At 48.9% G+C, this 14,442-nt stretch overlaps 1 long non-coding RNA gene across 1 annotated transcript in view, besides 7 other annotated features; it reads right to left on the bottom strand.

Annotated features, from left to right (window-relative positions):
- Positions 1-2,682, bottom strand: part of LINC01411 (long intergenic non-protein coding RNA 1411) — a 190,786-nt gene extending 188,104 nt beyond the window's left edge. Inside the window, exon 1 of the long non-coding RNA NR_125806.1 lies at positions 2,460-2,682. This is a non-coding gene — a long non-coding RNA (long intergenic non-protein coding RNA 1411). The remainder of the gene's footprint in view (positions 1-2,459) is intronic.
- Positions 2,075-3,274: an enhancer, noted in NCBI's record as "P300/CBP strongly-dependent group 1 enhancer chr5:173762765-173763964 (GRCh37/hg19 assembly coordinates)". NCBI's record gives its function as "activates an origin of replication core promoter dependent on BRD2, BRD4, P300/CBP, MED14 and CDK7 cofactors, with strong dependence on P300/CBP, by STARR-seq in HCT116 cells {active_cell/tissue: HCT116}" and the evidence as "EXISTENCE:reporter gene assay evidence [ECO:0000049][PMID:35650434]".
- Positions 9,394-10,012: an enhancer, noted in NCBI's record as "H3K27ac-H3K4me1 hESC enhancer chr5:173756027-173756645 (GRCh37/hg19 assembly coordinates)". NCBI's record gives its function as "activates a minimal SCP1, AML or CMV promoter by ChIP-STARR-seq in primed H9 embryonic stem cells {active_cell/tissue: H9 hESC(primed)}" and the evidence as "EXISTENCE:reporter gene assay evidence [ECO:0000049][PMID:30033119]".
- Positions 9,394-10,789: a biological region, named in NCBI's record as "MED14-independent group 3 enhancer GRCh37_chr5:173755250-173756449".
- Positions 9,590-10,789: an enhancer, noted in NCBI's record as "MED14-independent group 3 enhancer chr5:173755250-173756449 (GRCh37/hg19 assembly coordinates)". NCBI's record gives its function as "activates an origin of replication core promoter dependent on BRD2, BRD4, P300/CBP and CDK7 cofactors, and independent of MED14, by STARR-seq in HCT116 cells {active_cell/tissue: HCT116}" and the evidence as "EXISTENCE:reporter gene assay evidence [ECO:0000049][PMID:35650434]".
- Positions 10,013-10,633: an enhancer, noted in NCBI's record as "H3K27ac-H3K4me1 hESC enhancer chr5:173755406-173756026 (GRCh37/hg19 assembly coordinates)". NCBI's record gives its function as "activates a minimal SCP1, AML or CMV promoter by ChIP-STARR-seq in primed H9 embryonic stem cells {active_cell/tissue: H9 hESC(primed)}" and the evidence as "EXISTENCE:reporter gene assay evidence [ECO:0000049][PMID:30033119]".
- Positions 10,749-11,248: an enhancer, noted in NCBI's record as "H3K4me1 hESC enhancer chr5:173754791-173755290 (GRCh37/hg19 assembly coordinates)". NCBI's record gives its function as "activates a minimal SCP1, AML or CMV promoter by ChIP-STARR-seq in naive and primed H9 embryonic stem cells {active_cell/tissue: H9 hESC(naive and primed)}" and the evidence as "EXISTENCE:reporter gene assay evidence [ECO:0000049][PMID:30033119]".
- Positions 11,249-11,750: an enhancer, noted in NCBI's record as "H3K4me1 hESC enhancer chr5:173754289-173754790 (GRCh37/hg19 assembly coordinates)". NCBI's record gives its function as "activates a minimal SCP1, AML or CMV promoter by ChIP-STARR-seq in naive H9 embryonic stem cells {active_cell/tissue: H9 hESC(naive)}" and the evidence as "EXISTENCE:reporter gene assay evidence [ECO:0000049][PMID:30033119]".

The following is a 14,442-nucleotide window of genomic DNA, read 5'->3' as shown; positions in this document are numbered from 1 at the left end:
GCACAGGGGAATAAGAAAGAAATGCAAGACAGGGGACTTCTAAGGCTACATTTTGAGCCCTTCGAACATGGTGCCCCAACCAGCACCTCTTTGATTTCCAGGCTCCTGGAACAGGATACTGATGCTGTAATGTGCACACTGTGTGAGCAGAGAAATGGGCTCAGGTTTCAAACTGAAGCCACGAACCTCCAGTGTGGAGTCTGGCTGGTGAAGCTCCTCCCCACTGCAACACAGCTTAGAGATGGCACAGGGGTTGTTGTTGTTTTTGTTTGTTTGCTTTAAATCAACCTGTTCTCTTGAGGCTTTCCTTAAACGTGCTCCATCTCCAGGCAGTCCTAAGCCATTTTTTTCCTTTGCTAGGGATTTTTCATTCTCATCTCTAAAGGCATTTATTCTCTTTCAGTTTTCAAACCAGATATGAAGGGCACTATTTAAAAATTGGAAACCTTTCCTTGTGCAGTCAGTTGATAAGAAAGTTCCAAGGCCTCAGGGCACTGAGAGCAGGGAGAGGCTGAGTCCTGGACAACCTCACAGCAGGCAACGCCCGCCCTGGGCTTCTGGAGAACAGGGAGAGGAGTGTGGGTTGGGAGGCCCGCAGGGGTGTGGGCATGGCCAAGGCATAATTGCCAATCGCTGGCTGGAGGTGGGAGAGTTTAATCTTCTTCAGGAAATCCTCAGAGTGTGAAAAGTCGGGCCGATATTATAAAAACCCTGCTGAGAGGTTTTAATGGAAGCGGACACGGTGGGCACATTCTCCAGCTCCAATTTTCTCATTCTGAAACTGACCGAAGGAGTGTAGCAAAAACCCAATGCACATCATCTAATATCTCTAATATGCAGCCGCCTTTTAGCCTCTGGAGAAGGACAGGTATTCATTTTCATAAATTACTTTTTAACCATTTTTTTTTCAAAGTTGGCGGGGAGTGGTGAAAGAAAACAGAGACAAAACAGATGCCTTCAGCCCTTTGATCAGCCTCCCTGCAGACAACCCGGCTGCCCGATAGCACCTCTTAACTACAGCTTGCCGGGAAGAAAATGAGGGGTTTTAACGCTGCAATTACAGTGCCTGCTGAAGGCCTGTCATCGCAGCCAGAGGGACCTGATCCCACCAGTTCGGCTGCCCCCAGAATTACAACCATCGGGCAGAAAGTTAAATACCCCCTGCGGCCAGGCAGCTTCCACAGGCCCTGAAGCTCTGGGCCAGCCGCCCCCAACCCCCTGCCCCCTACCATGGTTCCCCCATCCTTGTCTCTATAAATATAGAAAACTAAGACCATACACGCCAGCTCAGCCAGGCCAGACAGAAGAGAAGGGAACAGGAGACAGCGGCCTTATCTCACACCCAGGAGTCGGGGAATGTGGCCGAGGCAGAGGTCAGATTTCTGGAAACAGAAGGGGGGAGGCCTGTTCCCCCCCAACCCCCTGCCACCCCACCGACTATAGCCTCTTGCTTAATCATCTGAGAGCAGTCAGGCTGGCTTTCTGAACACTGAACATCAAACACCTATTGGCTTATCTCAAGAGGAGAGACAGGGGAGGGTAATATTGACTCAGGCCTCTATACTCGCCTCAGGCTCAGCCCCCGGTGCTTTCCATGGGTCCTCCTGCCCCCTGCAGCTGGTATCTACAGGAGATGTTATTACCCAACCCCCTAGCATGGCCCAGGGCCACACACAGTGGAGCCCCCAAGTTCTCTCTGCCACATCTTCCTTTACACTTGGCGCAAATCTACTTGGGATGTCTGCAAACAAGCCTAGCTTTCTTGCCTCTAGGCCTTGGCAGACGCTGTTTCTTCTGCCTGGAGCCCCCTCCTTTGCTGATTTCCCAGCGGACTCCCCCTGGGGAGGCTCTCGCCTTTGAAGGATCTCTCTGAGAAGTCTTGGGGGAGCCCCCTGCCTTGTCCCCAGCATCCTGTGGCATTCCCGGCGCCCCTTCCACGTGAGGCTGCAGGGGTCTGACACCGGGGGTCTTCCTCACTGACTGTGAGCTGCTTAGGGCATTGATGGGTCACAGTCATGCCACACACACTGTGCCTGGTACATGGTAGAACCCTGAAAAGAACTGGTTAGATAAATGAGGGACTGGGAAACTTTCAGAAGAGAAAATTCTTGCTCATAGAAGTTCAGTCACTAGGATGGGGATGCTGGAAGTGGGGTTAAAACCTGGGTCAGCCCGAACACACAGCCAGTTCTTCCCAGAAGGGTGCTCTGCCTGTCTGGGGAATGACAGTACATGTGCCAACAAGGGAATACGCATCCAACACAGTGCCCTGGCTCTCAGGGCCAGGACTAGCCTTGGAAGCAGAACTGAAAGAGGTATCTGAAAAACTCCGTTATCAAAATGAATCATATTTTAACCTGATATCTTCCAACATCAAAACGAACACAAAACCCCACTCTGAACAAAATACCAAATTTTAAAATACAGACAGGGTCAGATTTGCTGACCTCTTCTCTTACCTCAGGTTCAAACATGACTCAGGATGATGCTGTTGGCTTTACGTTGCTGATGACCTTAGACATCCTTCATTGCTCCCTCTCTGGGACTCAGTTTCCCCATCTGTAAAAAGAGTCCAGGCTGGAGGCTCCTAGAGGCTCTTCTGACTTCAGGCTGGTGTAGGTTCATTCCCAGGCCAGCCTGCCTGCGGTTTCTGTCCCTCTGTGGCCCCAAAGCTGGGGAAGGTGTATGGATGGGCACTCACTTCCAGATCACGTCTCAGCCTCCTGATCCTGGGCAGCACCTGGGCTGAGTTTCACAAGTGCCTCCCGAAGAATGCTCAGGAAGGTGCCCGGAACCGAGGTCAACTACAGACGTGACGTTGCTACGTTTTTGGCTCCAAGGGGCTAGGATGACTCAAGGGTAGTGCTTTTGGCTTTTTATGGCCTCAGCGATGACAGCCCATGGTGAAGTCACCCTGGGATGCCAGCTCTCGAGAGTCACTGCTCTTCCTTTATGTGGCTTTTTCACTTATTTGCCTGACTCCGTAGCAGAAATGCTTTTATTTTAAGAACAATGAGAGGGACAACTGGGGAAATGTTGCAGTTATTTGCTTCAATTCTTCTGATGTTTGCTCATTGTTTTGGAATTACATTCTCATTCTGTCTTCTCTCACAAATTAGTGCTATACATCCATTCCAGCCACTCTCTAACTCATTCGTTAGTTGATCCGCTTAAATAAATGGTGCTGGTACCTGTTGAGTGTCCTCAGTGAGCCATGCCAGGCAACCATCCATTTGTCTGTGTAGTCCCAGCGTGCATCATGCACCTACCCCATGCCAGGTACTGGGCTAAGTTCTGCATTTACATGTTGGAGCAAATAAACCACATCTGTATCTTGCAGAGCTGACAAAAGGCTGGAGAACACTGGCATTAGACTAAAAGTAAATCAACAAATCTGTAGCTACCACTTCTGAGAAGAGCTGGAAAGAAAAGGCGCACAGCACTCTAAAAGCTTAAGACAGGAGGATTTAGTCTGGTCTAGAGATCTGAGGAAGCTTCTCCAAAGAAGTGCTAATGCGGGTAAGATATTTGAGGAACTGGGGTACGATGGCTCACGCCTGTAATCCCAGTACTTTGGGAGGCCGAGGCGGGCAGATCACTTGAGGTCAGGAGTTCGAGACCAGCCTGGCCAACGTGGTGAAGTCCGTCTCTACTAAAAATACAAAAATAGCTGGGTATGGTGGCATGCACCTGTAATTGCAGCTACTCAGGAGGCTGAGGCACAAGAATCACTTGAACCAGGGAGGCAGAGGTAGCAGTGAGCCAAGACCGCGCCACTGCACTCTAGCCCAGGCAACAGAGAGACTCTGTCTCCAAAAAAAATTTAAAAAGCTATTTGATGAACTAGGTGAAGTAAGGGAAGGAAGTGCATCTAGCACTTGCAAAGGCCCTGAGATAAGGGGCTGATGAGTTTGAGAAACTGGAGCAGGGCTTAGGTGGCTGGAGTGCAGAGAGCCGTGGGCCTCCGTGTGAAATGCAGCTGAAGAGGTATGAATACACTGAGAGCAGCATGCAGGGCATCGCAGGCCAGATCGAGGAGTTGGAGCTTGACATGATCATCCTGACTGCAGTAGTTGTTACTATTACCATTGTTATCACTATTTTTCCGATGAAGAAAATAAGGCCCAGAGAGGTTCACTCACTCATCCAGCAAACATTTATTAGGCAACTACTATGCGCCAGGCATGGTTCTGGGTGCTGGGATATAGCTATGACTGGGACAGGCTGGGCCTTGTTGCTGTGGAGCTTTTATCCATACATGCAGCAGAGGCAGGATGGAGATCTGGGTCTGCCCGTTCCAAAGCCTTTGCTATTTGCCGACCTTACGGTGTCTTGGGCCCAGCCCTGGGACGAAACATACTCAGGGTACTCCTCAAGAGCTTACCGTCTGGTGTGAGCTGCCACTGTGGTTTGTCCACTGGACCCAGAATCAGTATCCTGCCCCTGCCAGGTATTACAGTTGCTTCCTAAATCTCCAAAGAAAGAGGCTGAAACAGGAATAGGGCTGTGGCCCTGGTGAGGGAAGTGGCAGAGTAAAGCTCTCCAGCCCTGCAGTTGCCGGGCCAAATTCAGACCCACCTTTTAATCTCATTTCCACTTTCGTGGATTAAAGATGGTCACAAATTCTTTACTGATCTTTTCTTCGAGATAGAGACTGCTTCCCTCTCCGTTTTGACTCTGGGCTGTCCTTGTGACATGCTTTGACTAATGCACTGATGAGGCTGGGGTGCCAGCCTCAGCCTCTGTGCTCTGGGAAGCAGCATCCTGGAAGTAAAGCTGCTCAGGCTAACTACTGAATGATGAGCGAGCATGCAGAAAGGGCAGAAGGTAACCCTCCACCCCCTAGAATGAAGCGTGAGAGAGAAGCCTTCTTGGACCCTCCAGCCCAGCTCAGGGGCCTGCTGAATCATCTCAGAGCAACCGGAGGCCAGACCAGCAGAGGGACTGCCCAGGAAACCCAAGGACTCATGGGAAATAATAAACCACTGGGTTTCAAGCCACTAAGTGTTGGGGTGGTTTATTGTTCATTAAGAGATAACTGAAAGCCTGTGGGATATGCCTCAGGAGAAAACGTAAAGGGTGATCTATGACCTGAATAGAAGTTTCTCCAAAGAAGACATACATGTGGCCAGCAGGTATAAGAAAAAGTGCTCAACATTTCTAAAACCCAGAACCACAATGAGATATCACCTCACACCTGTCACAATGACTGTTATCAAAGAAATAAGATATAAGTGTTGGTAAGGATGTGGAGAAATTGGTCCGCTGTTTGTAGGAATGTAGAATGGTACAGCCACTATGGAAAACAGCATGGAGGTTCCTAAAACATCTAAAAATAGAACTACTATATGGTTCAGCAATTCCACTTCTTGGTGTTTATCTAAAGGAAATGAAATCAGGATCTTGAAGAGATATCTGCACTATTGACAAATAGCCAAGATGTAGGAACAGCCTAAATGTCCATCGACAGATGAATGGATAAAGAAAATGTGACATACACAAACAATGGGCTATCATTCGGCCTTTAAAAGGAAGGAAACCCTGCAACATGTGACAACATGGATGATCCCGGATGACGTTATGCTGGGTGAAATAAGCCAGGCACAGAGGGACAGATGCTGCAGGATTACACTTACAGGAGGAATAAAAAATAGCCAAACTCACAGAAGCACAGAGTAGAATGCTGATGGCCAGGGGCTGCAGTGGGACAGAGAAATGGTGAGTATGTGTTCAATGGGTACAAAGTTTTGGTCATGCAAGGTGAATAAGAATGCATCGCACAACATCGTGTCTGTACTTAACAATACTGTATTGAGCACTTAAAAATCTATTAAGAGAGTGGATCTCATGAAGTGTTCTTACCACAATTTAAAAACTAAAATAATGATTTATGGAGAGGAGACATCTGCTGTCCTCACTCGTATCCATTTCCCTTTCTCCTGTTATCAGAGGATCCAGCCTGGTCAGCCCGTTTTTTCCCAGGGTTGCTTGGGGTACCCACTCAGACCACGTGGTGATGGGGGGTCATGTGGGAGGTAAAGCTGATCCTCCTCCTGCTCCAGGAGTGGGCAGTTAACTCAGGACTAGCCGATCAGAGCATGGCATCATCCTGGCCACAGGGATTGGTTCAGAGATGGGCACATGACCCAGTCTGAGCCAATCAGAGCTATTCCTGGGACATTTGCTCTAAAGATTAGGAAAGAAGGAGGAGGGCTCTTTTCTGCTGGATTTTTTTTTTTTTCCCTAGACGGAGTCTCGCTCTGCTGTGCAGGCTGGAGTGCAGTGGTGCAATCTTGGCTCACTGCAAGCTCCGCCTCCCAGGTTCATGCCATTCTCCTGCCTCAGCCTCCCTAGTAGCTGGGACTGCAGGCGCCTGCCACCACCACGTCCAGCTAATTTTTTGTATTTTTAGTAGAGACGGCATTTCACCGTGTTAGCCAGGATGGTCTCGATCTCCTGACCTTGTGATCCGCCCGCCTCGGCCTCCCAGAGTGCTGGGATTACAGGCGTGAGCCACCACGCCTGGCCTTCTGCTGGATTTTAACCTGGGAAGAGGTGCCTCCAGAGCTGGTGATGGCATCTTACCTCCACATGGAGAGAGCCTTTGCAAGAATGGAGTCCATATCAAAGAAAGCAGAGCCATATTGTGAGGAATATTGTGGAGATGTTGTGAGGAATATTGTGGAGATGTCATCTGAAAACCTGGGCTTAGCCATGCCTGAAGCAACTCTAATTCTGGGCTTTTTGTTTATGCAAGCCTACAAGTCTTTCCCTGTGGCAGCCATGAAAATGTGCCACTCATACCTGCTGCCGTGGGACCATGGTTGACTGACAGCCCAGCTGCATGCTCCCCTGCATTTGCCCCAGGCCGTGCTCCTCACAGCAACCCTCGGCTGCTCCCAGCCAATGCCCGACCCCTGGGGGAACTAGTACTGTCCCATTCCTGTGGGTCCCCTCCACCTGGTGACTTAAACTCCAGGACTCCCCATTGGCCTGGCCAAAAATTTTTGGAAATTGCGTGGCAGTCTGAGGCTCCTACCCAAGGCTCCTTCCTCCCCTCTCCCTTCCACAGGGTCAGCCCTGAGTTATCCTGCCTTCCTGCCTCCTCCAGCTGCCTGGCGGCAATCCTTCACCAGTGAACCCCCTAGTAAATCTCCTGTGTGTCTAATTCCATCTTGGCATATGCTTCTTAGAGAACCTCCAACCCCTTTCGAGTACTTTTTAAAGCCAGTTTGACTGGGATTTCTGTCAGTTTCAATGGAATGATTTCTGCTAAGCACAATTCTCCTGCTAAGGCACTATGGCCTTGTCTGGAAGGTGACAAAGACCACGAGATGAATTTAAGTGGAGGGATGTGGTCAGATCTCTGTGGCAGACCTTCTGCCACAGGGGTAGACAAGAAGGGACTGGGGAAAGGAGACCAGTCGGGGTCACTGATAACTCCAGGTGGCATCCGTGTGAACGAACCCAGGCGGGTGGGAGAGTGGATGGAAAGGAGGGGATGGATTTGGAAGATATTTTCAAATAAGTCTCTTTTTTTTTTTTTTTGAGACCATCTCATTCCATTGCCCAGGCTGGAACGCAGTGGTGCAATCATGGCTCACTGAAGCCTCAACCTCCCAGGCCCCCTCCTGACTCAGCCTCCCAAGTAGCCGGGACCACAGGCACTTGCCACCATGCTCAACACTCCTTCTCCACCATGCTCAACATTTCTCCTTCTCCTCCTTCTTCTTCTTACTCTTCTTTTTGTAGAGTCTGGGTCTCTCTGTGTTGCCCAGGTTGGTCTTAAGCTCCTGGATTTAAGTGATCCTCCTGCCTCAGCCTCCCAAAGTGCTGGGATTACAGGCATGAGCCACCACGCCTGGTCTCAAGGAAGTCTTAATAGGATTTGGTGACTGGTTGGAAAGAAGGACAGGTGGAGTGGGCAGGGAGTAACAGAAAAGGCTTCCCCTCACCAACTCCGAATTCTCCTACTATAAATGATCACAATGATGACTCCCCAGTACTGGACACTCCCTGTAGCTGTTTGCTTACATAATATCATAACAGACCCAAGAAGTAATGAACATTATCCACTTTGCAGATGAGAGAACTGAGGCTTGGAAAAGTTTAAAAAGCTTGCCTAACATCTGACAGCTAGTAAATGGTGATGCTGGGATTGAAACCCAGGTCCCACTGGCTCTAAACATCAGGGTGCTCAGCTACCACCCCATGCTGCGGTGTGCCTCAAGAGCTGTTCTGAGGGAGGAATGAGGTGAGGATAGGGAAGCCCTGGCTTGCTGCCCAGTTCAGGACTGCCTCATCATCAATGGGGACCCCTTCTCCTGCCTCCTCCTGAACTGCCACCTCTCAGGCCATCCTCAGATTCACTCTCTGAATGGCCAGAGGTATAGCCCTAAGTTACTCACCACCTTCCGTCCTCTTTCTTCTTATTTCTAGATCATCAGCTGTACTTCTAAAATAGCTTGTTCATTGGCTGGAGAGAAAGAAGGAATAGCAAATAGACCTTGACAAAATGTGACTTCCTTCACTACACTATGATTGGTTTTCTGTATTGTACACATGGTATCAGAACAAGAAGAAGCAAGATTTTGAAATGAACACCATCCCCTCAATCCCTGGGACCCACCGTATCTTATCCTTATGCAGACATGGATGTCATTATGTGGCAGAGGCTCCTGATGGTTAAAATGAACCACTACAGGATTTTATTGCCTTCTTGGAAAGGAAAGGGATTTCGCAGGGAACCCCATCTTCCTCTTGTCCTTTGGCAGCGGCGGATGTCATTTTTGGCAAGCGTGGAAGCCTAGCTCTTCCTACCTTGCACCATCTTCCCCCGTGGATTCCTCATTGATGGTTCTGTGCACCATCCTCCTAATCTCCCACCAGCAAACACACACCACACGGTGGCCTTTTTCAGCAGGAGCCTCTGACTTCTCTTAAGTTCCGATCTTCAGCTGGCCTCTTCAGGAAAGAGGGATGCAAAAGCTCTAGCCCGGGAAGAGCAAGTTGCTGTGGTCAGTGATGGTAACTAAATGGAGCAAAAATCTGGTTTCATGGGGGAGCTAATGAAAACCAGATGGGTCCAGAGAGGTTCCTGGCCTGTCTAACAGACCAGCTGCATTGAAACTGTGCCTACCAGATGCACTGAGATGATTATTTCTTGAATGCACATTTGCTTCTAACTGTCACAATGACTGTGAATTGGCTTAACAAAGAGTAAGTCTACTCTGGCTATCAGCACAGCCAAAATGACCACATCGGGCGTTACAGGTTATTTTGAATGAATAAAGAGGGAAGGGAAGGGAAGGGGTGCGGGAAGGGAAGGAAGCAAGGTGAAATAAGACAAGATGAGCAAGTACCACCTGCTGTGTCGGGCACATCCATGCAGTGTCTCATGAAGTAGCCCAACAAGCTGGGACTGGGGCCCTTTGACCTCTATTTTGCAGGTGAGAGAAGCAGAGGCTCCGAAAATCGAGATTCCCCTTGTGTGCACAGGTGGGGCTGAGCTTTGAATACAGAACTACAAACACAGCAACTACAGATCTAACACTCTGATTTTCCCCTGCAACAGGGGCAAAGCCGTTCCCCTCATTCATACTCAGTCTCTACAAATTCAGTCAGAAAATGACCCCCTCTTTCTGCATTTACTCCTGGGAATGAAAAGCAAGCCCAGACATTGCCGTGGCCCTTTGAAGGGGATCCTCGGCTTTCTCCAGACCTGACCGTGGCATCGGCTTGATAGCAGTAACCGCCTTTTGTTTCAGCTGTGCCTCCACCTGCACAGGCCCCATACCCTGCCCCTGCCCCCTCCAGGTACACGCATATCTTTAGGAGCCCCAGAGGAGGGTCTCCTCGCAGGAGCTCTCCCGACAGTCCCCTTGCCTGCTCCAGCCACCTCATGAGGCACACTGTCACTAAGTCACTTTGTGCCCTGGTTCCAAACACGTTCTGGGAGTGCTGTCACCCCAGGGATCCCCTGGACCTCCTTGCCATCCACAGGCCCACAGGGCTGAGCCGGCAGGACGCTGTGCAAGACAGACCCAGGGGATCCTGTCCCCCACCTTCCTTAGACTCAGTGTGCAAAACCACTTCTGCATCCTCCTTCAATCAAAGACAACAAAAAATCTCACTAAGTCGACTCTTGGAGGACCTGCCCAGACATATCCCAAACAGGCCCAGGCTTGCCCAAATTCCTGAGTGGGCTCAAGCTAGAGTTCCTGCCTTCCAATTTGGTTTAGGAAACAATTTTCTACACAGTCTCTCAAATGAGCTTCCGAATAATCCTATGAAGTTGGCAGGAAAAATAGTTCTCCTTTGCAATTGGGGAGGCGGAAGCTCAGAGCATCACGTGGAGGGTCCGGTTAGACTCCTGTCTCCTGAGGAGCACGGCTTCCCACTCCTCTCAGTCACCTGCTTCTCATGGTCTGGCGCCCAAGAGCAGGAGACTGGATTCCCACCCCAGCTTCTTAACTGGTTTCTTGACTCCCTTCAGCCTCAGTTTCCTCATCTGGAAAATAGAAATAGAAATCATCTGGACCCCATAAGCCCCATAAGCTGTGAGGATTGAATGGACGGATGTCTGGAAAAAGCCACGCGACGCTCCCGACACCCAGAAACTACTAGCTGGCCAACAGCTACCTACGCTGATGGGCCAGAGGGGAGATCGGTGAGCAGAAGCCTGTGGCTTTGAAAGGCATTCACCCTTCATTTGAAGAGATGCTCTCATCCCAACTCGGCGCTTTTGCTGTACAACGGGTATAAAATTCCATCTCAGTACACAGAGTTATTCTTGTAAGGATAAAGCAACAGTTAATGTGACCATTTCTTTGGAAACGGTGACTGGTTAATGTGTTATTATTGTCACTAGCAGCCCGTCACCAGCAGCCTGTCCCCAGGTGTGACCGGGCCCCCTCCAGCCTTCCCTGCAGAAACCGTAATGGACGGGTCTCTGACTCTGGGAAAGGAACTGAGACATGTCTCACTGACTGACTGAGCCCCCAGGGTGTGAGCAGCACATTCGCTTACCCCGGTTCCTCCAACTCAGGTGAAGCCGTCCCATTTTTACAGATAAGGAAACTGAGGTTCAGAGGGGTGGCCCCACATGCCCAGGGTGGCACAGCAGGGGAGTAGAGAATCAGGGATTCCAACTCAGTGCCACCTGACTGCCAGGCCGAACTAGCCTGGAGAAGGGAACCAGCAGGCCCACGGACAGTAGATAAGCAGAGCCTCCTCTACCCATCTCCCTGGGGGCTTTTGTGAAAAAACTGGGGTGTAGCCTGAAAAGAGGTGAAAACAGCAGATGGTGCAAAGACGGTGGCATTATGAGAAAAAGCCCCAAACAGCCATCCAGGCCCAGGCTCCTCGGACAGGACTGTACCAGTAAGGAGCGCAGCAGTGGGCTGAGACCTGACAAACTGAGTTATAACCTGAGGCCCAGAGGCTCCCGCAGTGCCCCCAGCCAGGCTGAGAAACCTGATCCCAGATGTATTATTAAGTGACTGCCGCCTGGCTGAAGGTGGTTGGAGGCCACTGGGCCTCTTTGTCAGATAATGGCGCCCTCTGCTGGCAGTGCAGAGAGAAGCCGCTTCAAGGGAGAGGCCTTAGCTGCAGGCTAATAATAAAAACAACAGTTATGATGACAATAATAGTAATAACACATAATGACATCACAAAGAAGAGGAGGAAGAGAAAGACGCTTTTATGGAACACTTCCTGCAGTTACTGTACTAACCACTTTACAGATATTATCTCATTTCTGTTTTTTTTTTTTTTTTTTGAGACGGAGTCTTGCTCTGTCGCCCAGGCTGGAGTGCAGCGGCGCCATCTCAGCTCACTGCAACCTCTGCCTCCCGGGTTCAAGCGATTCACCTGCCTCAGCCTCCCGAGTAGCTGGGATTACAGGCGCCTGCCACCATGTCCGGCTCATTTTTGTATTTTTAGTAGAGATGGGGTTTCACCATCTTGGCCAGGCTGGTCTCGAACTCCTGACCTCAGGTGATCCCCCCGCCTTGGCCTCCCAAAGTGCTGGGTTTACAAGCATAAGCCACTGTGCCTGGCCATTTTTTTTAGTACTAATATTTTTGTCAGCTTGAGGAAGAGTGAGGTTCCGAAGTTAATGAACTTACCCCCGGTGAAGCTGTGGCATGAACTGACATGCTTGTCACTTTCCTGTCCTCTCTAGCTTGGGGAAAGACACTCTCGGCCCACCACATGGTCCATTTCTGTCCCTTGATATGCAGGTGGCTGGCATGCTGGGGGGATTGAGGGCAGCTTTGCTGTGTGACAGAAAAGCAGGGTCCTCACTCTATAAGATTGCCAGGCTTAGCAAATAAAAATAAATTGAAATTTAAAGCCAAATTCAAATGAGTATTCTATATTTATCTGGCCCATGTCCCCAGACCTGGAGACCCAGATTGAAATCTCATGCCACCACTTTCAAGATGTCTGGCCTCAGGCAAATGGTACAACCTCCCAGCTTTCGCTGTGACATCATAGCCAGGAGCCAGTTGAACCCAGGCTCAGTTAATTCATCAGACTGGCACTGCCAGGGCCTGGGTCGGCTTCCCGGTGACTCTCTTGGCTTCCCATGGTGGGCAGAAGACCCACATCTTGTGACCTGTTCCCTGCCCCCAGCACCATGTCCTCACAAAACTGTGACTAAAGGCAAGAAAGAAAGGAGGTTTCCATCCAGCGGATCCCCCACTCCGGTCTCGTTGTCTAGACATGGGCCAAGGGAGGCTAGGAAAATAAATCTCTGGCATTTCAGCCTCCGTGGTGGCAGATAGTCTTTGCCTGCAAGCCAGGGGTGGCGGGGGAGGCGTGGAAAGACAGAAAAAACAACTGTCAGTCAAGAACAAACACATCATGCTCTTTTCATGCCAGGCATTGCCCTAAGGGGATTTGCTATGTATGTTAATGCATTTAACCCTCACCATTATCCCATTTTACAGATGAGGAAAGTGAAGCCCAGAGAAGATAAGCAACCTGTTGAGGTTCACAGAGTAGCAGGTGGCAGAACAGGGATATGCACCCAGGCAGCTGGCACCATCACCTAGGAAGCCAGCCCCCAGCCCTTCTGCTTCTCTGGAGACAGCGGCAGACAGGCCGCACCCCCTCCAACTCATCTCTCCCTGGTTAGTGCCAACACAGCACAAGGCTGGTATTGAGTAAGTCCTTAACTAAGTACCTGAAAAACACCTTATGAGGACAAAGGGGCTGCTTCCTGGTAGGCACCTGATAAGTGTCAGCAATTCTTAGTGACTGGCACTTCCTTTCCACCTGCCCCTCTCCTGTCTGTGTGGATGGCGACATTGCTCTTCACCCGTGCATAACACCTAACTCCATGGGCAGAGCTCGGGGCACTGCCTGTGCCTGTGGAATGAGTTCTTGCTGTGTGACCTGCGCCTGGTCCCTGTGCGATTAGTTCCCATCAGTTTCTGGAATGTGAGTTGCTGATGAGACAATGCAACCGCTGTCCCAATTAGAAAGCAGGCGGCAAGCTGGAAAATGCCAAGTGTGGTTTTATTCATAGCTCTTAAACTTTTTGGTCTCATTCCTAACAAATTCTTCTTCCTATTATTTCTTATTTTTACACATTTATGTTTATTATTGATTATATGTATCAATTTAGAGTTTGAATTATCATTATTGTTGATGTGGGTTAGGTCTATCCATATTTACTGGGTTATAAATTGAACTTGATAAATGTATAAAATACTTATTTTAACTCATCTTTAAACCCATTACATATTTTTATTAAAAAATAACTTTTTTTGGTAAAACAATAAAAAGTAGAAAAATGCCATTGTGTTTTGTTTATGCAAATGTCTTTAATGTCTGTCTTAATAGAGGACAGCTAGATTCTCATATGGGCTCCTCTTTCAATCTGCTGAGATGTATTGGTTTTAGTATATGAAGAAAATCTGGTCTCTTAAAAATATGTGGTTGGAAATGGAGTATTTTAATTGTCTTTTTCAGATAATATTGCCTATTCTTCTTTGATATGAGACCCAAAATTGACAAATGGTTTTAGATTTCAGATTTGCTGCAACCTGGAATCCGAAATCGTATCATGGAATTATTTTCTACTCTGTTACATAAACTCCTTTGTTCTCTCTTGGATGGATCTTTCCTCATGCATGATTTTGTACCATCATGCACCAGTCATTTGGAAAACATTGGTTTACTGAGTCATGCTGAGCTTCCAAATGTTAGCACATTTATCTTAAATATCAAAAGATCCTGACCACTAACGTTACCATAGGTCTTATCAGAAGAGTGTTTAGTTATTAGGAAATGGCCAAACTCATAGTAGTGGATATAGATTTTCTGAAATTCTAATTTTGACTTGAGAGATCAAATTTTTATCTTTGGTAACAAATGTCATTTTTTTCCCCCTTGAAGCGACAAGCTTACTTCATCTGCTTTCAAGAAAATGTC

Source organism: Homo sapiens, chromosome 5 (assembly GCF_000001405.40).
Source record: "Homo sapiens chromosome 5, GRCh38.p14 Primary Assembly".
NCBI lineage: Eukaryota > Metazoa > Chordata > Mammalia > Primates > Hominidae > Homo > Homo sapiens.
This window is presented reverse-complemented; position numbering and strand designations above follow the sequence as displayed.